This window comes from Homo sapiens, chromosome 4, assembly GCF_000001405.40.
Source record: "Homo sapiens chromosome 4, GRCh38.p14 Primary Assembly".
Classification (NCBI taxonomy): Eukaryota; Metazoa; Chordata; class Mammalia; order Primates; family Hominidae; genus Homo; species Homo sapiens.
In genome coordinates, this window is record NC_000004.12 from 1184348 (window position 1) to 1208995 (window position 24648).

At 53.6% G+C, this 24648-nt stretch overlaps 3 protein-coding genes and 1 long non-coding RNA gene across 5 annotated transcripts in view, besides 6 other annotated features; 1 reads left to right on the forward strand and 3 right to left on the reverse strand.

Moving 5' to 3' along the window:
* Positions 1-18847, forward strand: part of LOC124900647 (nascent polypeptide-associated complex subunit alpha, muscle-specific form-like) — an 89556-nt gene extending 70709 nt beyond the window's left edge. The window contains exons 1-5 of one of the 2 annotated variants that reach the window (XM_047416478.1): positions 1862-12449; positions 12784-16005; positions 16183-16382; positions 17726-17842; positions 18671-18847. In XM_047416478.1, the coding sequence (XP_047272434.1) occupies positions 9239-10885 (1647 nt within the window). In that variant the 5' untranslated portion in view covers positions 1862-9238 and the 3' untranslated portion in view covers positions 10886-12449; positions 12784-16005; positions 16183-16382; positions 17726-17842; positions 18671-18847. Of the gene's footprint in view, positions 1-1861; positions 12450-12783; positions 16006-16182; positions 16383-17725; positions 17843-18670 lie in introns of those variants that run through there. The other variant, XM_047416477.1, reaches the window with a different exon arrangement.
* Positions 1-24497, reverse strand: part of SPON2 (spondin 2) — a 41913-nt gene extending 17416 nt beyond the window's left edge. The window contains exon 1 of the mRNA NM_001199021.2: positions 24229-24497. The gene's annotated coding sequence lies outside the window, so the exon portion shown is untranslated. The remainder of the gene's footprint in view (positions 1-24228) is intronic.
* Positions 9962-10673: an enhancer, noted in NCBI's record as "H3K27ac-H3K4me1 hESC enhancer chr4:1188097-1188808 (GRCh37/hg19 assembly coordinates)". NCBI's record gives its function as "activates a minimal SCP1, AML or CMV promoter by ChIP-STARR-seq in primed H9 embryonic stem cells {active_cell/tissue: H9 hESC(primed)}" and the evidence as "EXISTENCE:reporter gene assay evidence [ECO:0000049][PMID:30033119]".
* Positions 11436-24615, reverse strand: LOC100130872 (uncharacterized). The gene is made up of 4 exons (NR_024569.1): positions 24229-24615; positions 20635-20769; positions 16922-17115; positions 11436-15700 (listed from the first exon to the last, which is right to left on the reverse strand). It is a non-coding gene; the product is annotated as an uncharacterized LOC100130872 (long non-coding RNA).
* Positions 12214-13413: an enhancer, noted in NCBI's record as "BRD4-independent group 4 enhancer chr4:1190349-1191548 (GRCh37/hg19 assembly coordinates)". NCBI's record gives its function as "activates an origin of replication core promoter dependent on BRD2, P300/CBP, MED14 and CDK7 cofactors, and independent of BRD4, by STARR-seq in HCT116 cells {active_cell/tissue: HCT116}" and the evidence as "EXISTENCE:reporter gene assay evidence [ECO:0000049][PMID:35650434]".
* Positions 15296-15845: an enhancer, noted in NCBI's record as "H3K4me1 hESC enhancer chr4:1193431-1193980 (GRCh37/hg19 assembly coordinates)". NCBI's record gives its function as "activates a minimal SCP1, AML or CMV promoter by ChIP-STARR-seq in naive and primed H9 embryonic stem cells {active_cell/tissue: H9 hESC(naive and primed)}" and the evidence as "EXISTENCE:reporter gene assay evidence [ECO:0000049][PMID:30033119]".
* On the reverse strand, positions 16279-16910 carry LOC124900164 (uncharacterized). The gene has a single exon (XM_047416479.1). It carries the CDS (start codon positions 16908-16910, stop codon positions 16296-16298), a length of 615 nt encoding a protein of 204 aa, XP_047272435.1. The 3' UTR covers positions 16279-16295.
* Positions 16341-16560: an enhancer, noted in NCBI's record as "active region_21146". NCBI's record gives its function as "activates an Ori minimal core promoter by ATAC-STARR-seq in GM12878 lymphoblastoid cells {active_cell/tissue: GM12878}" and the evidence as "EXISTENCE:reporter gene assay evidence [ECO:0000049][PMID:35858748]".
* Positions 17801-18000: an enhancer, noted in NCBI's record as "active region_21147". NCBI's record gives its function as "activates an Ori minimal core promoter by ATAC-STARR-seq in GM12878 lymphoblastoid cells {active_cell/tissue: GM12878}" and the evidence as "EXISTENCE:reporter gene assay evidence [ECO:0000049][PMID:35858748]".
* Positions 24179-24248: an enhancer, noted in NCBI's record as "active region_21148". NCBI's record gives its function as "activates an Ori minimal core promoter by ATAC-STARR-seq in GM12878 lymphoblastoid cells {active_cell/tissue: GM12878}" and the evidence as "EXISTENCE:reporter gene assay evidence [ECO:0000049][PMID:35858748]".
* Positions 24616-24648: the final 33 nt, after the last annotated feature.

Here is a 24648-nt window from a genome sequence, read left to right on the forward strand (position 1 = left end):
TCAGCTCAATGCTGTCTACAAAAATCTTGATTTAAATTCAAAGACACAAGTACACTGAAAGGGAAAGGGTGAAAAAAGGGATTCCAAGCAAACCAAAACCGAAAGAGAGCAGCAGAAAAAACCACTCTAAAATTCACATGGGCTCTGAAGGGACCGCAAGTAGCCAAAATAATCTTTAAAAGAAGAACAAAGCTGGGGGACTCACACTTCCTGATTTCAAAATCTCCTACAAAGCTGTAGTAATCAAAATCTAATAATCTAGTAAATTTACTACAAGGTTCCAGTAATCAAGAATACAATAAGCTGGCCAGGCACGGTGGCTCATGCCTGTAATCCCAACACTTTGGGAGGCTGAGGCAGGCAGATCACGAGGTCAGGAGTTCATGACCAGTCTGGTCAACATAGTGAAACCCGTCTCTACTAAACAAAAATTTAAAAAATTAGCCGGGTGTCATAGTGTGTGCCAGTAATCCCAGCTACTTGGGAGGCTGAGGCAGGAGAATCACTTGAACCCAGGAAGCGGAGGTTGCAGTGAGCCGAGATCTTGCCACTGCACTCCAGCTTGGGCGACAGTGCAAGACTCTGTCTCAAAAAAAAAAAAAAAGAATACAATAAGCAATAAGCTATGCTCTATCTTTATGCCAGAAATAAACTCTCACATATATGGCCAGATGATTTTTGACAAAAGTGCCAAGACCATTCAATGGGAGAAATAATAGTCTTATAGTCTTTTTTCTTTTTCTTTTGACACAATCTCACTCTGTTGCTCAGGCTGGAGTGCAGTGGCACAATCTCGGCTCACTGCAGCCTCCGTCTCCTGGGTTCAAGCAATTCTCCTTTAGCCACCCGACTAGTTGGGATTACAGATGTGCACCACCACCCCTGGCTAATTTCTTTTTTGTATTTTTAATACAGACTGGGTTTTGCCACATTGGCCAGGCTGGTCTTGAACTCCTTACCTCAAGTGATCTGCCCACCTCGGCCTCCCAAAGTGCTGGGATTACAGGCATAATCCACCATGCCCGGCCAGAATAGTCTTTTTGACAAATGGTGTTGGAAAACCTGGACATCCACATGCAAAAGAATGAAGTTGGTCAAGCCTGTGATCCCAGCACTTTGGGAGGCTGAGGCGAGCGGATCACCTGAGGTCGGGAGTTCCACACCAGCCTGGCCAACATGGTGAAACCCCGTCTCTATTAAAAATACAAAAATTAGCCAGGCATGGTAGCACATGCCTGTAATCCCAGCCACTTGGGAGGCTGAGGCAGGAGAATTTCTTGAACCTGGGAGGCGGACATTGCAGTGAGCTGAGATCGCGTCACTGCACTCCAGCCTCGGCAGCAGAGTGAGACTCCATCTCCAAAAAAAAAAAGAATGAAGTTGGACCTTTTGCCTGACACTGTATGCAAAAATTAACTCAAAACTGATTAAAGACCTAAATGTAATACCTAAAACTATAAACTTCTTAAAAGAAAACATAAGACAAAGCTGTACAACTTCAGATTTTACAATGATTTATTGGATATGACACCAAAAACATGGGCAACAAAAGAAGAAAATAGACAAAGTGGACGTCATGAAAATTAGAATATTTGTGTATCAAAAGGCAACATCTGGCCGGGCGTGGTGGCTCACGCCTGTAATCCCAGCACTTTGGGAGGCCGAGGCGGGCGGATCACGAGGTCAGGAGATCGAGACCATCCTGGCTAACACGGTGAAACCCCATCTCTACTAAAAATACAAAAAATTAGCCGGGCGTGGTGGTGGGCGCCTGTAGTCCCAGCTACTCAGGAGGCTGAGGCAGGAGAATGGTGTGAACCTGGGAGGCGGAGCTTGCAGTGAGCTGAGATCGGGCCACTATACTCCAGCTTGGGTGACAGAGCGAGACTCCGTCTCAAAAAAAAAAAAAAAAGGCAACATCAACAGAGTAAAGGGGCAACTCAAAAGATGGGAGAAAATGTTTTTTTTTTTTTTGAGATGGAGTCTCCCTCTGTCACCCAGGCTGGGGTGCAGTGGTGCAATCTTGGCTCACTGCAACTTCTGCCTCTCGGGTTCCAGCAATTCTCCTGTCTCAACCTCCCAAGTAGCTGGGATTGCAGGCGCATGCTGCCGTGCCCGGCTAATTTTTTGTATTTTAGTAGAGACGGGGTTTCACTGTGTTGCCCAGGCTGGTCTCAAACTCCTGAGCTCAGGTGATCCACCCACCTCGGCCTCCCAAAGTGCTGGGATTACAGGTGTGAGCCACTGCACCCAGCTGATGGGAGAAAATATTTACAAATCATTTATCTGATAAGGCACTAATATCCAGAATATATAGAGAACTCCTAAAACTCTAAGACAAAAAACTCAATTTAAAAATGGGCAGAGGACATGAATAGACATCTCTCCAAAGATGATCTACAAATGGTCAATAAGCAAATGAAGAGATTCCCAACATCATTTATTACTGAGGAAATGCAAATTAAAACTATAATAGGACATCACCTCACACCCATTAAGATGACTACTATCAAAAAAACCCCAAAATAACAAGTATTGGCAAGGATGTGGAGAATCTGGAACCCTGGAGAACTATTGATGGGAATATAAAATGACACAGTTCCTATGAAAAACACGATAAGAGTTCCTCAAAAAATTAGAAATAGAATGACTGTATGATCCCACATTGCAACTGTGGGTATATACCCAAAATAATGGAAATCAGGGTCTTGAAAATATATTTGTATACTCAAGTTCATAGCAGCGTTATTCACAACAGCTAAAATGCAAAATCAGTTCAAGTGCCTACCAATGAACAAACAGATAAGCAGAATATTATTTAGCCTTAGAAAGAAAGGAAATTTCACCTTACAAAGGAAGGACATATGCTATAATATGGATCACCCTTGAGGACATTATGCTAAGTAAAATAAGCCAGTCACAAAACACAAAGATTGTGTCATTCCACTTAGATGAGGTACTTAGAATAGTCACATTCAGAGAGACAGACAGCAGATTGGTGGTTGCCAGAAGCTGGGGGGAGCAGAAATGGGGAGTTGTTGTTTAATGAGTGCACAGTTTCAGTTTCACAAGATGAAGTGTTATGGAGATGGATGGGGTGACGTTTATACATGATGAATGTTTTTAATGCCACTCAACTGTACACTTTAAAATGGCTAAGATGGTAAATTTTATGTTATATGTATCTTTTTTTTGAGGCAAAGTCTTGCTCTGTCATTTCTTTTACTATACCTTTTAAGGTGTCTTTTTAGCAGATGCCCTAGGGATTACAATTAATATCTTAATTTATAACAACTGATCTCAGATTAATTATAATTTAATGTCAATGGTATACAAAAACTTTGCGCATATATAGCTCTGTTCCCTCCTCCTCCTCTGTGCTATCACTGTCATATAATTTAAATGTTTACACATCATTTGACTACCAGCACAGATGTCTAATCATCACTCTCTGCAGTTGTCTTTTAAATCAGGTAGGAGAAAAAAGAGCTACACACATAAACTATTTATTTTTACACTGCCCTTTGAAAATGTTTTCCCCAATTTTTTATTGTAATAAAATACACATAACAGGCCAGGCACAGCAACACACGCCTATAATCCCAGCACTTTGGGAGGCCAAGGCTAGTGGATCTCCTGAGGTCAGGAATTTAAGACAAGCCTGGCCAACACGATGAAACACCGTCTCTACTAAAAAATACAAAAAAAAAAAAATTAGCCAGGCGTGGTGGCGGGTGCCTGTAATCCCAGCTACTCAGGAGGCTGAGGCAGGAAAATTGCTTGAAACTGGGAGGAGGAGGTTGCAGTGAGCCAAGATCACACCACTGCCTGGGCAACAGAGCAAGACTCCGTCTCAAAAAAAAAAAAAAAAAAAAAAAAGAAATGACAAATATGTTGAAATGAGACACTAGGAAATATCTATTTAACACCAAAGAAGGCCATATGGAAACAGAGGAACAAAAAAAACCTAAGATATGGAAAACAAATAGCAAATGGTGTGCCTAAATTCTCCCTTATCAACTCAGTATGTAGTGTCAACTAAATGTTAATTAAACACTCCAGTTAAAAAGCAGCGGATAGAAGGGCTGACTTTTAAGAACCATGATTCAACGCACATTCAAAGACACTCTGAAGTAAAAGAGCAAAGATAGAATAGTAAGCAGAAGAGAGCTGGAGTGACTGTGACAATATGAAAGAAAACAGACCTTCGGACAAAAGTTGTTAAAACAGACAAGGATATTTTATAGTGATAAAAGGGTACATCCATCAAGAAAATATCACCGTTATCAACATATGTGCACCTGACACAGAGCCCCAAGATACATGAAGCCAAAGCGGAAATGATGAAGGGCAAAATGGACAATTCAACAATAACAGCTGGAGACTTCCAGCTTTCAATAGCCCATTTCCAATCATGGATAAAGCAACAGGACAGAAAATCAAAAGTCAGTAGAAGACGTCAACAGGCTCTAACCCACCTAGACTTGGCAGACGTCTGTAGAATACTCCACCAACAACTGCAAAGGTTGTTGTGCCCATTATTCTCAAGTGCACGTGGAATGTCTGACAGAATAAACCCGATGTTGTCATAAAATAAATCTCAACAAATTTAAAATGATTGAAATCATGCAAAGTATGTTCTCTTACCACAATTGAATGAAATTACAAATCAATAACAGAAAGAAATTTGGGTAATTAAAAAATATGTTAATAAAACACTGAACTCCTTAGTATCCAATAGGGCAAAGAAGCATTCACAAGAGAATTTAGAAGATAGTTTGAGATAAATGGAAATGAAAACACAATATACTAAAATACAGATGAAGCTAAACAGTGCTTACAGGGAAATGTACAGCTGTGGATACTTACACTAAATAAAAAGAGATCTCAAATCAATAACCCAACCTTCCACCTAAAGAAACGAGAAAAAAACAGCACAGTAAGTCAAAGCAAGCAGAAGGAAATAATAAATAGTAGAGCAGAGATAAATTACAGTAGAAAAATAATTTAAAAGATCAATTAAAACAGACCGGGTATGGTGGCTCACACCTGTAATCCCAGCACTTCAGGAGGCTAAGGCAGGCAGATCTCTTGAGCTCAGGAGTTCAAGACCAGCAGGGGCAAACGGTAAAACCCCATCTCTACAAAAATAAAAAATAGCTGGGTGTGGTGGCACGCACCTGTGGTCCCAGCTACCTGGGAGGCTTGAGCCCAGGAGGTCGAGGCTGCAGTGAGCCAAGATCATGCCACCACTGCACTCCAGCCTGGGCAACAGAGTGAGACCCTGTCTCAAAAAAAAAAAAAAAAAAAAGAAAGAAAGAAAGAAAAGAAAACAAAAAACAAAAGTTGGTTTTTGGAAGGCCAGGTGCGGTGGCTCACACCTATAATCCCAGCACTTTGGGAGGCTGAGGCGGGCGGATCACAAGGTCGGGAGATCGAGACCATCCTAGCTAAGATGGTGAAACCCCGTTTCTACTAAAAAATACAAAAAACTAGCCGGGCATGGTGGCACCCACCTGTAGTCCCAGCTACCCACGAGGCTGAGGTAGGAGAATGGCTTGAACCCAGGAGGCAGAGCTTGTAAGTGAGCTGAGATCATGCCACTGCACTCCAGCCTGGGTGACAGAGTGAGACTCCATCTCAAAAAAAAAAAAAAAAAAGTTGGTTTTTGAAAAGATCAAGAAAATTGAATAGCCAGACTAAGAAAAAAGAGAAGACTCAAATTTACTAAAATCAGGAATGAAATAGAAGACATTACTAATGACATTACAGAAATTAAAAGATTTATGAGGGACTCTTATGAACAATGTGCCAACCAATTAAATAATCTAAATGAAATGAACAAATTCCTGGAAAGACACAAACTACTGAAACTGACTCATGAAGACATACAAAATCTGAATAGACCTAACACAAATGAAGAGATTGAAGTAGGAAAAAAAAAAACAAACAAAAAAAAACAAACTTCCCACAAAGAAAAGCCCAGGATGAGATGGCTTCCCTGGTGAATTTTACCAAATGTTTGAAGCATAATTAATACCAATCCTTCATAAATTCTTCCAAAATAGGGAACACTTCCTCACTCATTCAGAGGCCAGTATTACCCTGATACCAAAACTAGACAAAATCGTCACACAAAAAATAAACTTTCCAGTATCTCTTATGAATATAGCTGCAAAAAATGTTCAACAAAATACCAGTAAACTTAATCCAGCAACATTTTCGAAAAGATTATGCACAATGAATGCAAAGTTGGTTCAATATGAATGATTAGGCAAGAAAATAAAATTAGAGGCAGCCAGGTTGGCAAGGAAGAAGTAAAACTATTTCTATTTGCAGATGACATGATTTCATGCATACAAAATCATCAGAAATCCATGCAAAAACATTGGAGCTGAGAAATGAGTTCTGCAAGGCTGAAAATACAGACCAATATTATAAAAATCAGTCACGTTTCTAAAACAATGAACAATATGAAAATGAAATTAAGAAAACGATTCCATTTATAATCACATCAAAAGAATAAGCTTAGGAATAAATTCAATCAAAGAAGTACACAACTTGAACACTAAAAACTACAAAACATCATTAGAAGAAATTAAACATTTAAATATGTGGAAAGACATCTTGTGTTCCTCAATTAGAAGAATTAATATTGTTAAGACAGCAATAGTCCCCATATTGGTCTACAGATTCAATCCAATCCCCATCAAAATTCTAACTGCTTTTTTTTTCTTTTTTTTTTTTTGCAGAAATGGAAAGTCTGATCCTAAAATTCATACGGAATTGCAAGAGGCCTCAGATTGCCAAAACTACCCAATAAAAGAACTAAATTGGAAGACTTACACGTCCCAATTTCAAAAATTACTACAAAACTGTAGTAATCAAGACAGTATGGTACTGGCTTAAGGCTAGGTATAGAGACAATGGAACAGAATTGAAAGTCCAAAAATAAACCCCTACTTTTATGGTGAACTGGTTTCAACAAGGGTGCCAAAGTCACTCACTTGAGGAGAGATCAGCTCCTCAGCAAATGGTGCTCAGACAACTGGACCTCCATTTGCAAAAGAAGGTATTTGGACTCCTACCTCACACCATATACAAAAAAATTAACCATGTATAAAATTGATCAAAGACCTAAAAGTAAAAGTCGTGAGTTTTGGCCCACAGGAGTAGACGGACAGGGTTGAGGAGCCAGTCTCCCAGTGAAGGTGCTGGAGGCTCCTTGATGCTCTTCCCTGACAGTTCAGCCTAGAGTGCACTCCTTGGGATGATGGCGCCCCTCCTCTCACACCTTGGCTCAGAACTCAGCACTGAAATCCACTGGGAAGGCCAGGGGCAGGAGAGACCTCTGCCTAGTGGGAGTGCAAGGACAGAGGCCTCCTCGGGCTGTGTAGGCCCTGCCTGGAGGGGACACCAGAACCATAGGGTGTGTGCGAGGCAGCGGTTGGATCAGTGTGGAGAGAGGGTGGAGGAGGTGCCCACAAGTTACCAAGGTTTGCAGTGAGTTCCTGTCATTCTACATTCAGGTACATAGCTCCCAGGACAGCCAGCCCCTCCCCATAGGCCTACACACCCAGCCTTCAGGCCACACCCAGGCTGGTGGCCGCAGACCACTTGGGTCCCTGTTTCCAGGGCTCTGATGGGATAGAAGAGACTCAGCCCCATGAGGATGTGGGTGCCCCTCATCTCTCCACAGCAAGGAGGGGCCAGAGGAAGCCCCATGCTAGCGTCAGGGGACAAGGATTCCAGCTCAGGCCTGTCCACGGCTGTGTGACCCGGCATGGGTTAAGCTCTCTCAAGGCCTCAGTTTCTTCCTCTGCAGAGTGTGGGATGGGGGTGACCTCACCAGATGGCCCCACATGCTTTAGCACAGAGATAATCCCTTTCCTCGTGACCCACAGCCAGCCAAGCAGCTCTACTGAGTGTGGGACTCTGTCCAAGCTCTGAGTCAGCCCTAGGGCTGGTCTTGGCAGCCCTGTGCTGGCTGGCCAGGGTTGGCTGTGGAGCCAAGGAAAGGGATTTGGAATTCAGGGATTTATGCTTTAAATTTCACATTTTCTTTTTCCCAATAGAGTTTCCTACTCTCAATCTCTTGACACGATGGTAAAGCCCTTTGCTGTAGCTAAACTCAGTTGCCATTTTCGGATTGGCATTAGGGTGAGAAGGCTGAGTGCTCACAGGGAAGCCTCTTCCCAGCAGCACCCCTGGGCTGGAAAGGGCAGCGGGAGCAGCACAGAGCAGCAGAGGGTGGCTCAGGCTAAGCCGGAGCTGCCCGGGGCAAACAAAGAGGGACCTGCCTCCTTGTTTCTTAGCCTCTTAACACAGAAGCTCGCAGCCTGGATTCTAGGAAGGCTTGGGGGGTACGGCCATCCTGCTGGAAGCCTTTGCTCCTTTAGCCCAGAGAGCACTTGCCCCAGCCCCACATACACCCCAGGGAGATGCCACCGGCCAAGGAGAGGCTTGCTGAGGCCACGGCCCAGCATCAAGCCCTCACATCAGGCTGTTCCAGCAGCCAGGGGCCCTCAGAAGCAAGGCCGAGTGGAAGGAGGTGCCAGGGAGGGGGCAGAGCTCAATGTCCACTGCAGCAGCTGCTGGGGTCCCTTCTCTGCTGCCACCTCATCTGGCACAGGGTGGGGCATGGGATGGAGACATCTGAGTACCCACCAGGCCCACACACATATGTGGACATGCATGCATGCCACACACACGTGCACACACTTGTATACGTACACATGCCCGACACAGCTGCACCATGCCAGATACACGCCTCACACATGGGTGCACACACACAGCACATGTGCTCACACACCATGCACATGCCTGCATCTGAGGCTGACCCTGCCTTTGATCTGGAGGATGCTAATGGACCCTGCAGAGAGAAAGTGGATGTCACTGCAGAGACTCAGTGGGCACTGGAGGGTGCAACGTCCCCTGTCCCAGTCTCTGCCCAGGTCCATCCTGTCCCCTGCCCCACACACCCTTCATCACTGGGTGTCCCCGTCACCGGGTATCTGTCCTGGGGGAGTCCAGCACGCCAGGCCTGGCCTCTCTCCAGAGCCCCCCCAGTCTCAGTGGGCCCCACCCTGGGGCTGGGGAGGAGGAATAGGAGTGTGGGGGAGCTGGGTGGGGACTGAGTCCTTTCTCCAGGAGGGAAGGTTGTGTGTCCCTACAGCCCTGTGTCACCAGAACACCTCCCCAGCAACAGGGGTCACTCCCGTAGGACCTGCCGCTGACCATGGGACAAGAACGTGGGGGGCATGGGAAGGATGTGGAGGGGGCATGGGAAGGATGTGGAGGGGGCATGGGAAGGATGTGGGGGGTGTGGGAAGGATGTAGGGGGCGTGGGAAGGACGTGGGGGGTGTAGGAAGGACATGGGCGGTGTGGGAAGGACGTGGGGGGTGGTGTGGGAAGGACGTGGGGGGTGGCGTGGGAAGGACGTGGGGGGGTGGCGTGGGAAGGACGTGGGGGGGTGGCGTGGGAAGGACGTGGGGGGGCAGCGTGGGAAGGACGTGGGGGACGGTGTGGGAAGGATGTGGGGGGTGTGGGAAGGACGTGCGGGTGGCGTGGAAAGGACGTGGGGGAGCTGTGGGAATAACACGGGGGTGGCGTGGGCCCTGCTCCCTGTCCCTCTTCTTTGGACGAGGCTGCCAGTATGTGGAACCCAGGGGGGTGCCCTGTGGCCCAGCAGCTGTTCCCACCTTCCCTGCAGCCACAAGCTTTGAAGTGGCCTTGCCAGAGGCCCCACAGGACGTCTCCGGGGAGCTGCGGCCAGACTTTGGGCACAGCAGGCAGTGCCTATGGGGAGAGAGACACCCTCCGGCCGGCCTCCCTCCACCCCCAGCCCCACGACGGCAAATGGGCTCCTCCAAGGGTCTTCGGCGAGGTGTGCGGGCCTCTTCTGCCAAGGCCATGTCATTGGGAGGTGGCCCAGTCAGGGTGGCAGGAAAAAGGACCAACGGGGCTCACCCGCAGGTCCCGATAGAGGGACCACTTCAGAGGCGGTTCAAGGAGCCGAGCCCCAGGGTGGGAGGCCTGGGACCAGCCCCCGGGGGACAGCGACGGCCCCAGGCCTGGAGGACCGGATGGAGCGGCTGGCGTGCCCTGCAGGGGGAGTGGGAAGAAACGGGGAAGCCGGGCCGCGGTAGCGCAGGCCGCAGGCAGGGCTGTGTGGGACAGGGCGGCTTGCACAGCTTAGCTTCTTCCTGGCCCGGGTGGGCTCCGTCCTCTTCTCTGGGCCAGCTGCGCCGGAGGCCCCGGGAAGAGTCCCCCTGCTCTGGCCCGCGGGACCTGCTCCCCAGCCTGGAAAGTCTGAGCTGGCCCCGCTGCCGGGACACCCTCCCCAGCCTCGCTGGTGGCCTGGTTTCTGCCGGGCGCGGGGGGAATGTGGGTCAGCGTTTCCAAGTCTGGCCCGGGGCCAGAGGCAGTGGAAGGAAAAACACTCAGCGGGGGCTGCCTGGCAGAGGCCTCACCTCACAGCCGGCGGTTCCAACCCCGCAGCCAGCAGAGGCCTCACCCCACAGCCGGCGGCTCCAACGCCACAGCCGGCGACTCCAACCCCGCAGCCGGCGGCTCCAACCCCGCAGCCGGCGGCTCCAACCTCGCAGCCGGCGACTCCAACCCCGCAGCCGGCGGCCTCACCTCACAGCCGGCGGTTCCAACCCCGCAGCCGGCGGCTCCAACCCCGCAGCCGGCGGCTCCAACCCCGCAGCCGGCGTCTCCAACCCCGCAGCCGGCGGCTCCAACCCCGCAGCCGGCGGCTCCAACCCCGCAGCCGGCGGCTCAGGGCTCAGGACCACAGGGAGGGCGCCCCAGGCAGCTCCTCCTCCTGGGCTCTGCCCCCACCGCCGTCCTCTGGAGATGGCCCGAGGCTGGTGCCCATGACTCAATGTCCCACTCCCGCATCTCCTGCGGTCCCAGGGCGGGTCCCGCTGGTGTGTGGCCGGCCTCGCAGGAACCACTTCGCTCTCCCCCATCCACTACTCCCACAGGCAACAGGACCGGCCCCCTGGCCCGTCGGTGGGCGCATCAGCTTGGTGGCCCTGGCCCCCTGCGCCTCAGGGGTCCCTCACAGGCCGGCCAGCTTCCAGCACCCTCCCTAAGTCCTCGGCCCCTTGGAGGCTGCCATGGCACCTGAACCTCCCCCCGCCTCTCCAGGCACAGCTCGAGGTTGGGCGGATGGGGGCTGCATCCCGGGCACCACATGTGGGTAGGCACTGCCGCAGCCCCTCGAGTAGCCCTCAGCAAGCAGGGCTGGAGGGTGGGCTCTGTGCAAAACCGCCATCACAGCCCCAGGGCCATCAGCAGGCAGAGGCGCAAAGCCTGGTCATGGCCAGCAGCCCTGGGATGCCCCTGCCCCAGACCCCCCACCCCGGAGACCCCCAGCCCCAGGATGCCCACACCTCAGCCTCCCAAGTAGTTGGGACTACAGGTGTGCACTACCACACCCAGCTGATTTTTTTTTATTTTTGTAGAGCGGTCTCGCTGTGTTGCACAGGCTGGTTTCGAACTCCTGGCTTCGAGCCATCCTCCTGCTCAGCCTCCCATGGTGCTGGGATTGCAGGCGTGAGCCCCACGCCTGGCCACGCGCCTTGTTGAGTTGGTGACTTCGCCTTTGCTGTGGGGATCTGGGTTGGGGTCTTGTGGCTTACATGAGAATAGAAGATCATGGGGTAGTTCCTGGCACCCTCCCCTCAAGGAGGCTCACACAGGCCAGGACCGCCCCCTCTGGCTGCCCCATCGCTGCCCCCCGACAGGCCCTCTGCCTCTCCCCTGTGAACCACGAAGCACATCGATGGGGTGCCTAGCGCCCCGCCTCAGTCAGGGCTCATGGGGGAGGCCCTTCTTTAACGTCTCTTACTGGGCACACCCAGAGGCCACGTGTTCCAGGGTCAGAGAGACCAGGAGAAATCCCAGCTTCTTCACTCACGGCTGTGCATCTTCAAGAAGGTGACTGTGCCTCTCTGAGCCTCAGCCTCCTCTGTCTGACAGCATAGGGGTCTGCAAGTCTCTAGAGGTCATGTGAGCTCCATGGGAACCTCTCATCTATACCGTGGAAGCAGCTGCGGGAAGTGCACGTGAGCTCTGTGGCCTCATGCCGACCAAGACCCTGGGGGTCACACCAGGCATAGCTGAGAAGCAGAGCAGAGGCCACTGCGGTGACCAGGGTTACTCCCGAGACTCAGAGCAGAGGCCACTGCAGTGACCAGGGTTGCTGCCTGCCTGCCACACACCCCACTTGGGCCTCTGGCTGTCTCCTCTCCTGCAGAAACCCCATGGGCAGGTGTGCAGCCAGCATGGAGGGAAGATGTGTGTGCCAGCAGAGAGAGCACGAGGCCTGGAGTTCTCATCTGTGCCACCAGAAGCAGGGGACAGTGAAACATCATCCATGACCACTAGGGAGACGGCTCCATCCCAGGCATCACAAACCAGCCCAGAAGTGTCACCGGTAAGCGCGACAGCAGACACTAGAAGGTATGTCATCCATACTCATTATCCAGAGAAGGTACTAGAAGGAAGCCAGTCACTGCCTCTGAGTCAGACCAGAGGACACCCCCCTGACATCAAGGTGAGGCCAAGGGGAGAGGAAACAGGGCTAAGTAGGGCCTGTGATGTCAGCATGTCTGGTTGGGCATGTGGCAGGGACGATGACTGAGATAGAAGACATAAACCTCCATGGTCCAAACATGGGAGCTAAACTCGGAAAGCCAACAGGACGGGGACATGATGAGGGGACTTGAGGGTCACAGGAGCTCCCTCCGTGTCTCTCTCTCCATAATTAGGTCTAGTGGCAACAGAAAAATGCAGACAGATCAATATGGATGGTCATGCTCACGTTCCTCATGGGAAACAGCGCTTCCGAAGATTCCTCACGGGAAACAGAGCTTCCAAACGTTCCGACTTCCGATAAGTCCATGTCTGTTGTGTATTGGCTGCAAAGAAAACCTCAAGGAACTAAAAAGTAGAATAATTAAAATGATCCTGTTATCCAAAAAATTGTAAAATAAATAACGGAAAGTGCCACCTCTTCCCCCAGAAACTTAGAAACCAACACACTCCCAGGTAGCCCTTGGGTAAAACAGGATATTAAATCTGAACGTGCACTCTCTGAAAAGCCGAGAAGCCATAAATATCAATCCATAAATATCGAGGACTCAGCTAATGCAGCGCCCAGAGCCCCCAGCACAGCTCTTATTTTTTAGAGGAAAAAATAAACGAGAGGGACTTTGTGCCACCCTAAGAAACTAGAATGAGAACAATAAAGTGCATTTTAAAAAGTAGGGAGAATTATGAAGATAAAGCCAGAAATTAATGAGTAGAAAACAAATAAGTAAAAAGGAGAAATGATTGTTTTCTGAAAGAAATAAAATAAAATCCCCTTGCCCAGCCCAAAAGCTGCATCAAGAAATGACTGCCTAGGCTGGGCGTGGTGGCTCACGCCTGTAATGCTTACACTTTGGGAGGCTGAGGTGTGCAGATCACTTGAGGCCTGGAGTTTGAGACCATCCTGGCCAATATAGTGAAACCGTGTCTTTGCAAAAATACACAAATTAGCCGGGCATGGTGGTGCGTGCCCGTAGTCCCAGCTACTTGGGAGGCTAAGACAGAACAATTGCTTGAATCCGGGAGGTGGAGGCTGCAGTGAACTGAGATCGTCCCACTGCACTCCAGCCTGGGTGATAAAGTGAGACTCTGTTTCAAAAAAAAAAAAAAACTAAAACAAATAAATGACTACCTCTATTTAGAATTTTTGTACATTGAAATAAAAAAACCCACACATGATTAGGAAGAAAGAGACCCCAGTATGGAAGAGGCTGGAGGAATGATGAGACAGCCCGCTCGGCCGGGGCAGCTGCTTCGAAACCTGCAGCAGCCATGTTGTCGTGGGTGTAAAGTCCAGAATGACTCTGGATGAGCGGCACCACGCAGAGATGAGCACGAGGTGCTGGAGAGGGCGAGAGCTGAGCCAGGAAAGGAGGCACCAGGAGCAGATGTCCGCAGCTGACGATGACCTCACCTTCCATGGAAGGAAAGTCATCCCAGGGTTACTTTAACCTTCCCAAGACATGAAAGGATGGAAAACTCTGTAATTCATCTCATGAAACCAGGATAATCTAATTCAAAAACCTGATGTGGAACAAAAAGAGAAAACCATAGACAAATATCACTTTTCGCAGATGCAAAAAAATCTAAGTAAGAGAACAGCAAATAGGACTCAATGCAGCATCAGCGGATTCTACACAAGAGAACAGCAAATAGGAACCAACGCAGCGTCGGCGGATTCTACACAAGAGAACAGCAAATAGGACCCAACACAGCGTCGGCAGCATCGTGTTATGGCCAAGCAGATGAAGGCCAGGCTTACGAGGGCAGCGCAGTCATCAGAGACGTCATTTCATTAGCCAATTAGCACAGAAAATTCAGAGAACCTCACCGACAGGTACTGAAAAGAAAACTGACCAAATTCAGCAATCTTTATGAATAAAAGCACTATTTCTAGTAAAATAGAAAAAAGTGCAAAAGTCTCTGTCCACAATAGTGGCCAAGATCGTTCTACGTGGAAAACACAAATGTCACAAATCCAGGGTCGACTCGTGGGGCCTGCTGCTGTCATAATTGTCCAGCATTTTCTCGGAGGTTCTGGCAAACTTAATAGAAAAACCAAATAAATGGCACAAATATCAGAAAAATAAGACAATTTATTTTGTTGATGACATGATTGTAAACCTAGTTATGCCTCTGCTCCCTCATTTAAAAATTAAAAATCAGGCCAGGTGCGGTGGCTCACGCCTGTAATCCCAGCACTTTGGGAGGCCAAGGTGGGCAGATCACCTGAGATCAGGAGTTCGAGACCAGCCTGACCAACATAGTGAAATCCTGTCTCTACTAAAAACACAAAATTAGCCGGGCGTGGTGGTGCATGCCTGTAATCCCAGCTACTCGGGGGTCTGAGGCACGAGAATCGCTTGAACCCATGGGTGGAGGTTGCAGCGAGCCGAAATCACACCACTGCACTCCAGCCTAGGCCAGAAGAGTGAAACTCCATCTCAAAAAATATTAAAATTAAAATTAAAAATCAGTAAAAACATTTTAATACAAGATAAATATACAAAAATTAGTAACTTCCCACTCCTCTAGCAATAATCACCTGGAAATTTTAAAAAAAGGGAGTCAAAATATTCCCTTTGCCATGGCAACTGAGTAGTTGGGGGTGAAGGTTAGGATGCTGTATGGAGCAGCTCCGGCCATGGGGAGCTCGACAGAGGCGTCATTTCTCTCCCACATGGTGGCTGAGAATAGCTGGGTGTGCTGCTCTGTCGCCACACATGGGGTCCCCCCATCACGCCTCTTCTCTAGCCTTCCAGGCATCTTTCCTGGCTGTGGGGTTCTACTGGGTGCAGAAATGCCCACGTCCAGCTGGCAGGAGGGGCCGGGGCCAGGGCAGGAGAGGAGAGGCCATGTTTTCCAAGACCGGAGCTGGCAGGAACAGTGTCTCCAGGTGACAAAAGCCTCCGACAATTTGGCGAGAAAGGTGGGGGTGGGCATGAGAGGATGCAGGGCCCCCACCACTCAAGCAAGGAGAGCGGGGGGCAGAGCCACGGAGAAGACCCAGTCTGGAGCCTCTCCCCCCAGCCTGAAGCCCAGCCTCCAGGTTCCATGAAATCACCTCCAGTTATTCCAGGAGAAACGGCGCACGGCCTAGGAAAGAAAGAACAGGCAGCTTGGACCCAGGCTCCAATCCCGGCTGCTAGTTACCAGACGGGCAGCCACATCGCGTCTGTGTGCCTCAGTTTCTACACCTGCGGCTGGGTTGATGGTTGTGTCCGCCCGGTGGGGCTGCTGTGAGTTAAGGGGTGAGAAACGCTTCCCTGTCCACTGTCTCTGACACGTTCTTCCTGGGTCACCCCTCACTCAACACCCCCAGAGACCAGGCAGGCTCCACGGACAGTTGAGAAGGCGTCCAGCCTGCAGAACGGAGTCCAGGACCCAGAGAAGCTTCAGGGGTGAGCAGGGTGGGTCGGGGCTGGGGAGTAAATGACAGAGGGAGCAAGTGGAGGGAGGAAGGGGCTTCAGGACAGGAGGTGCAGGCTAAGCGAGGATGGCTGAGCCGCCCTGGTGTCAGAGCAGGGGAGGCTCAGCGGGGGCGGGGGCGGGCTCAGCCTCTGCGCTTCTGCCTCCAGGATGTTATGGATCTGGCAGGGAACGTGTAAACCATGAGCTCACCCCACGGGAACGTGGTTTCCTCTGGCTGCCCCCACAACAGCTGTTCCCCATCAGCACCGGCCCCATCTCCCTAGCAGGAAGCTGGGCAGCCACTGCAGGCCAGGTGTGGACGACCCTCACAACTCTCCCATCTGCGTGGACATCGCTGGACGGGGTGGTAAGGGGGAGGGGAGCAGCGAGGAGAGGGTGGGTGCAGCCCCCCACCCCTCTGGTCCCTGCCTTTGCTGTGAGCAAGTGGAGAAAGCCCAGCTCCTGGAGGTGGGGCCAAGTCTGCAGTGTCCTCAATGCCACCAACCAGGCCTGACCCTGACCACTGACTGAGCACCACGTGGTGCCTCTGCCCTGGATGTGGGCACCCCCGTGCCCTCCTGGCTCTGTTGCAGCAGACCTGTACGCCAGGGCCTTCTAGACGGTTCTGGCCCCTCCCGTGTGGACTGTTCCCACCATACCTGGTCTGGGCTGAGGCTTCCTGGCCCTTCCCCCTCCCACCCTGACGAGGTTGGCCTGGGGCGCCCATGGATGCACCCTGCCCACATGGCCCTCTGCGGTCACCCACAGCCAGCGGGACCCAGATTCCCTGCAGGCCAAATGCAGGTGCCCCAGTTCCTCCAGCCCCTCCCCCCGCAGTATGTGGGCAGTGACAAAGAGGGGGTGGGTCTGGCCCTGTGCCATGCTGGGGCCCCATGCCCGCCCTACCTGCCCTGAGTGTCCCGGCCGTGAGTCCCCAGCCCACTGGCTTCAGGCACTTCCAAGCCCCTTGCTCGCTTCCCTGAAGAGGCTGTGGGTTTCTCCAGGCCAGGCCTGTGGTCAGCAATGCAGGCAGGTGTTTGTGATCAGGGCATCTGTGCTATCAGGAACAGCCCCCAAACCACGCAGGGAGGGAGGAGGCCCTGAGAGAGAAGGTGCCGTTACATGCACGTGACCACAGAGAAGGCTGCCTTCACCCCGTCTGCACCCCGGGAGTGCCTGCCACACTGAGGTCCGCGCGCAGTTTCTGGTTTTCTGATGCTGACTTTTTTTTTTTTTTGGAGACAGAGTCTTGCTCTGTCACCCAGGCTATAGTGCAGTGGCGTGATCTCGGCTCACTGCAAGCTCCGCCTCCTGGGTTCACGCCATCCTCCTGCCTCAGCCTCCTGAGTAGCTGGGATTACAGGCGCCGGTTGCCACGCCCGGCTAATTTTTTTGTATTTTTAGTAGAGACGGGGTTTCACTGTGTTAGTCAGGATGGTCTCGATCTCCTGACCTCGTGATCCAGCCACCTCAGCCTCCCAAAGTGCTGGGATTACAGGCGTGAGCCACCTCGCCCAGCCGGTGCTGCCTTCTTGAGCCGTGGCCTCCACAGTGCTTCACCTGGCTCCCGCAAAACAGCTTCATTGAGATGAAATTCACATGCTCACAAGTCACTCTTTACAGTGTACAATTCAGTGGTTTTTAGCATGTTCACGAAGTTGTGCAACCATCCCCACTCATCTCACTCCGGAACACGTTCATCATCCGCAGAAGACGTCCTGTGCCTGTTAGCAACCGCTCCCCGCCACGGTTTGAGTGAGGCCACAACAGAACATCAGACAGCAGTTTATCAACAGAGACTTCCTGCCTCCCCGTCTGGAGGCCAAGGTTGGGTTCTCCTCTTCCACGATGGCCCTTGCACGTCGCATCCTCACCGGCTGGAGGGTGGGTCTGCCCCACAAGCCCTTTTCATGGTGGCTTTAGTCACAAGGGCTCTGCCTCGTGAGTGGATCAAACACCTCCCATCAGTCCCCACCTCCCGGCACTCCACGGGGTCTAAGTTTCAGCCTGAGCTTTAGAGGACGGAAACGTTCCAACCACGGCACTGCACGCCAGGCCCAGTACTCACCGCTCTCACATACAAAATCATATGAGTCAGCATTCTCTAGAGGGACAGGACTCATAGGATACATGAACAGGGGATGATCTTGGACTCCCTGCCCACCTTCCAGACACATGGGGGCAGGGCTGGGCCCCCACGGCTTCTGTGGGCTCAGCCCACTCAGTGCTCATGGGTCGGAGTCTCCTGCCTGCCGCTCTCCCAGGCTGTGCTTGCTCGCTGGTGGCCCTGCAGTCCTGGGGTCTCGGAGGCAGCCCCCACCTCAGCTCCGGTGGGCATAGCCTCGGTGGGGACTCCGAGGCAGCTCCAACCCCACGATGAGCCTCTGCCTGGGCCCCAAGGCTGTCAGCAACATGCTTTGAAATCTGGGTGCAGGCCACCATCGCCTGCAGTGTCAGCGCCCCGTGGATGCCGTCAAGGCCCCCCGCATGTGCCTTTGGGAGCGATGGTTGGAGCTGCGCCTGCACCTGCCTGAGCCATGGCTGGGGCGGCCAAGGAGGGCTGGGCCAGGATCGGGGGAGACCCAGGCAGGCAGTGAGCTCTGCGGTCCCAAAGGTGCCCCAGGGTCTCATCCCTTGCCATGATTCTGTCCTCAGGGCCCTTATAAAAGGGCTAGAAGGAACTAGCTTGGCTGTTTTTCCTCCGAATTCTGCCATGTGAGGCTGGATACGCCATTGGAGCTGCCCTCAGCAGACCCCAGCCTGCCGGCACCTGGATCTTGGACTCCCCAGCTTGAGAACTACAGGAAATAAATTTCTGTTGCTTATAAATTACTCAGTCTGAGGTGTTTTGTTACAGCAGCGGGGATGGACTAAGACCCTTCCCATTTTCCCCCAGCTGTGCCCTCGCCCCCAGCCCCGGGCAGCTGGGAGTCTACTCTGTGTCACCGTGGACCTGCCCATTCCAGACATTTGACATAAATGGTCTCATGTGATATGTGGCCGTCTGCGTCTGACCTCCTTCACTTGGCAAATGTTTGCGAGGTTCATCCACTTTGGAGCATGGGCCAGAGCTTCATTCCTTTTTACGGGTGAAGAATAGTGTGGGGCCAGGCCACAATGTGCCCATCTGTCCCTCAGCAGATGGACATGTAGGCTGTGCCCACCTTTGGGCTATTGTGAATAATGCTACCAGGAACATTTGTGGATAAGCTTTTGTGTGGATAAGCTTTTGTTTCTGATTCTCGGGGACGTGTACCCAGGAGTGGGATTGCTGGGTCACATGGAATTCGGCTTCACACTTTGAAGAACAGAACAGCCGCATGTGAGGTTCCCACGTCTCCGCCCTGACACCTATGATGCTTTCGGTTCCAGCCATCCCAGTGGGTGTGAGGTGTGGTCTCGTGTGGTTTTTATTTGCATTTCCCTGGTGGCTAATGGTGTTAAGCAGCTTGTCATGAGCTTGTTGGCTGGTCGCATATATTATTTGGAAAAAACATCTATTCAAATTCTTTTGCCTTTTTTTTTTGAGTTAGAGTCTCTCTCTGTCACCCAGGCTGGAGTGCAGTGGCGCGATCTCAGCTCACTGCAACCTCTGCCTCCCAGGTTCAAGCAATTCTCTTGCCTCTGCCTCCTGAGTAGCTGGGATTACAGGCGTGCACCACCACGTGGTGGCTAATTGTTGTATTTTTAGTAGAGATGTGGTTTCACCACGTTGGCCAGGCTGGTCTCAAACTCCTGACCTCAAATGGTCCCCCCAGCTTGGCCTCCCAAAGTGCTGGGATTACAGGCGTGAGCCACTGCGCCCGGCCTCTCCCAGTTTGCCCATTTTTTAACTAGGTTGTTTATCTTTGTATTGCTGAGCTGTGAGAGTTCTTTAGCACACTGGTTTTTCACTACCTTACCCTGGAGCCGATACACATCCTTTCTGCTCAGTCATTAGCCAGAAATGCAGAGAAATGCTACTGTGTGACCCCATGACCTCAGCCTGATGTGCAGGGGTCCCCAGAATATTAGACGGGCACTGACTGTCTGCAGGATACAGACCCGGGAGGGTGGCTTTGCACTGCTGATCTGAACACAGCCTCTCACTGATTCAAAACGTCCTTTTGGCGTGTCTGTAATGCCTGCGTGTTCACCGTTCGCATTGTTACTGTGAGCGACCCACGCACCAGCTCCACACGGGGCTCCCTAGGTGCAGCCTCCGGTGTGTGTTAAAACCTGGTGGCCACGGTTCCCTTGTTCATCTTTTGTTCCAGAATTTCCTTAGTTTTCTTACTTATTTTTCCACGTTAACTTCACAATCAATCTACCTGATTCCAGGGTTCTCCGGTGTTTTAATTGGCCCCGCTGTGGCAGCCGGCCAGCACGAGGGACGGCACCTCGTGACGCCCAGGACAGACCGGGCTTGTTGCTGGTCTGTGGTCCTCAGTCAGGCCTCAGACCCTCTATAACAGGTATAGATGTGCCCGCCGTTTGCTCCTAGAAATTTACAATTTTTGTTGCTGTTGGGAATGGTCCCTTTTCTTTCTTCATTGTCTCTCCTAACTGGAAGTGCTTGAATTTGAAAGATGCTGATTCCTGACTCTGAATTTTGTGCACAGCCACCCTCCGAAACTCACCTCTGCCTTCTAATCAGTTTTCCGGGTCTATGAGGAGTCGCAGCAGGCTGTGCTCGGGTGCAGAGCCTCTCTCCAGCCGTGTGCATGCAGCTCTTCCCGGGGCTCTTGGCTGTGAGGCCTGGCCTGTCCCTGTGGCTAAGGCGGAAGACCCAGCTGTCCCCTCCCTGTGCCCTCGCCACGCCCTCCCCGTAACGCTGACCAGACTTTGCACAGGGCAGGGCCCTGGGGGCACATGGACAGGAACTGGCTGTGGGTGGAGACAGCACCCGGCTGAGGTCCTGGGGAAGAGGCCATGCCCGGAGCTCCTGGACACAGGAGGTGGCGCTGGCTGAGGCCCGATGCCTGAACTGGGCATGGGGGGAGGCACCTTTGAGCTGGGGCCTCCTCGGAGCAGCTGCACCCAGGGGCAAACCCTGCCCCTCGGTTTCCATGTCCACATCTTTACTAGAACTGCAGCTGGCATCCGTGGAGCTGTGGGCTTTGTCCAGGGAGAGCCGTGCCCAGCACCTGGGGGACCCTGCAGAGGTGCTAAGGTTCAGGGTTAAAAACGAGGATCCTGGCCTCCCGCAATCCTGTCCCCAGAGGCCCCATCGGAGCCGCCTGGCCTTCCCTGCCAGCCCAAGCATCCGAGGCTTTTGCCAGCAGTGCCTACGGCAGCCTTGGGAAGGGTGGGGGCCCAGGGAGGGGCATCATTTGGTGTTGATCAGGGGAGATGCTGGCGTCACCACGGCCCCAGGGCCTCCAGGCCCGCCCAGGCTCCCTCACTCAGATGTCCCACCCACAAACACCTGACCAGGCCCCACCAGGGGCCCCTCTCACCCCTGAAGCTGTGCAGGCCCTCGGCTGACAAACTGGGACCCTCAGCTTGGATGGGCAGAAAGGTCCAGGAGGGGCCTCTGAGACCTCCTCGCTCGGGCCTGGGGGTTGGGGCCGCAGGAAGCCATGCTCCGCCCGATGCCCACCCCTAGCTCCCCTGGCTGCCTCCTGGCCTCTGTCTCCCTCCAGGCCCCCAACCCTGACCAGGGAGTGGGGGGTTGGGGGCGGAGCTTTTGGGAGGAGGCCACGCCCAGCATTGGGTTTGCATTTCCAGGGAGGGCTTCTCCTGCCTGGTCTCCTCCCCTGGTACTGGGCTGGGGGCTGTCAGGGTGACCCTGCCCTACCCAAGGCTGACCCGGGGCCATGAACAGGAGGATGCCCCCCTCCCTGCTCCTCATGTGTGCCCCCACGGGAGCCAGCGGGCAGCAGCTGGACCCCAGCAGCCTCTCAGGGCACCCAGGACTGGAGAGGGCCCTGCCAAGGGTCTGCGGGTGCCACTCACCCACCCGGCTGCAGCCCCCAGCTCCCCTGGGCTGACCGTGGGCCTAGGCCGAGCTGAAGGGGCTGGCGGTTGTCAGCCCTTGGTCTGGCCCCACCACTGCTCTGCCAGGGCAGGGGGAGGCCGGCAGCCCAGGTTGTGGGGCCAGAGGGCCACGCTGTGACAGACGAGAAGAGGGAGTGACCTGGAGGGCCCGGGGCAGGGACCAACAGCAAATGCCTCCCTAGGTGGTCTCTCCAGGACAGATGTGTCCCCTGTGGGAGGGCTGGGGCGCCCAGCAAAAGCAGCAGCTCCTCAGGGAACGGGGACCCAGCGGGCTGAGTGGGGCTCTTGGAATAGAAGGAGCCTCCCCAGGCTCAGCTCTGCAGGCGGAGAGGGGAGGCAGGGCCTGAGGCTCATGGTAGGGAAGCGGCCTTGCCCTGTGAGGTCTCCCTCAGGGGGCAGAAGAGCCGGGACCCCGCCAGCAGCAGAGAACAAACCCCAGTCTAAGGCGAACCCCAGGTGTGGGGTAGGTGTAAAAGCAGATGGCTTTGACCACGAGTGCACAGGTGAGGGGCAGACAGGTGTGAGCAGGTGTGAGCAGGTGAGGGGATAGGTGGGAGACACATGGAGGGTGGGAGGAGATAGGGACAGGAGAAGAGGCAGTGGGGGCAGGTGTGGGGCAGGTGTGGGGCAATTGGAGGTGGGTGGGGGTGGATGGTGTCATTTGGGAGTGGATGGGGTTAGGTGTGAGCAGGTGCAGGGCGGGTGGGGAGCACGGGGAGGAGGCTGGAGTTGGTGTGGGCAGGTGCAGGGCAGTGCCCGGGAGGCACTGTCAGGTGAATGTGGGGCTGGGCAGAGGCTGACCTGGGACGCCAGGGCTGCTGCTGAGAACCTGCTGTCTGGGCAGGCAGCCGGGCCCCGCCAGGTGTGACTGCCCACTGCACAGAGGGGGTGGAGGCCGGAGGCCTAGACGCCTGTAGGGGCTGGGAGGGATGTGGGTGAGTCCGGCTGCTCGACACCCTCCGTCCCACCAGTGTCCACAGCCCTGGCCCCGGCTGGCCCCGGCGTCCCCACAGTGGGCACCCCCAGCTGGAGCCAGCTTGCATCAGGGACCTGGATAGTGAGTGGCGAGCCCTCCACAGTGGGATCCTACAGACACTGCTACCACTGACCAACGGGGTCAGTAGCTGGTTTAAAAAAGAAAGGGCAGCAGAGAGGCCACCCAGAAGAGCCGCTGTTTCCATGTGCCGCGCTTACACATGCTCCAGAGGGTCCGGCTGCCTAACCATGCGCCGCGCTTACACATGCTCCAGAGGGTCCGGCTGCCTAACCATGCGCCGCGCTTACACATGCTCCAGAGGGTCCGGCTGCCTAACCATGCGCCGCGCTTACACATGCTCCAGAGGGTCCGGCTGCCTAACCATGCGCCGCGCTTACAGATGCACCTAACCTTATATTGTTCAAGTCTCATGTCCTGCCTATCAGGGATGTTTTCGGACCCTACATGGGAAGCCCTTGGCCCGTTTGAAGGTCGGGTCAGGGGGCGGCTGAGGCTGTCCAGGGCAGTGGTCAAGGGCTTGGGGAAGCGGAGGTAGACTCACCAGGTGCTGGTGCTCAGAGGGGCCGGGGAACACCCACGCCCTGGCCGGGCCACCCCGTCCCTCCTGGTGCTTGATGCCAAGGGGAGCGGGTCAGGCCGCGAGAGGCCCAGGGCCAGCCTGGGGAGCAGAGCTGCTCAGCGGGGCAGAGGTCCTCCTCCGGGCGCCGGGCTCAGGGCCCAGTGGCCAGATGGTTTTCTTTGCTGCAGGGAGTGCCGGCTGCGGGGGTAGGCCTGGGAGGGCTCATGCAGCTGCTCTTGGGTTTCTCTGCTGTTGTTTTTTGCTGGAAAATCAATCCTGCAAGTCCAGCTGGGCTCTGGCTGAGAGCAGCTAGGGGTGGGGATGGTGGGTGCTTCCCGGCCCCCACGGGGCAAGTTCTGGGCCCACAGTGGGGAGAGAAGGCAGGATGGGGTGCAGGGCCAGCCTGGGGTGGGGCCCCGAAGAGCCTGGCTCCCTGCCCTGTGCCCTGCTTGGGCCACCCCAGAGGGACTGTCCCGACCCTCCCAACTTCCTGCCAAGGCCCCCGGAGCTGCCTGCAGCCTCCCCTTGCTCCCGTGCCCGGGGCGGAAGTCTACAGGAGACCAGAGCCCGGGTGTTCATCAGCAGCCGCAGGAGAGTTCCCCACCAAGGCGCAGTAGCCTGAGGTGCTGGGGCTGCCCGACCCTCCCCAGCTCCACCCCTCTTGCCTCTGAGCCCTACCCAAGGCCTGGAGAATCACCGCTTCCTCCTGCTCCAGGGGTTCCAGCAGGGCCCTTGGAGGATGTGCCTGCCGCGTTCTCAGCCCTCTCTGCCGACCTTTCTTGAACGGACTCTGGCCACGGTGCCAACGCGTCAACGGTCTGTCCGTCTGCTGTCCGAGCTCAGGGGCCGTCCATGCCTCCACGGCTGGCATACAGTAGCTCTGGTTTTACCCATGAGGGGGAAGCCCAGCACCCGTGCCCTCGATCACATCGCCAGTTCACAAACACACATGCGCACACGCACACGCCGCCCGCCCACCAGGCAGACACCCACACACCTGTGCACGCACGCGCACGCCAAGCCAGCGGGCCCTGCCCCTGCCCCGGAGCCCTCAGTGTCAGAACCAGGCTGCTGTGGCTGTTTCCTCTTTAATTCGCC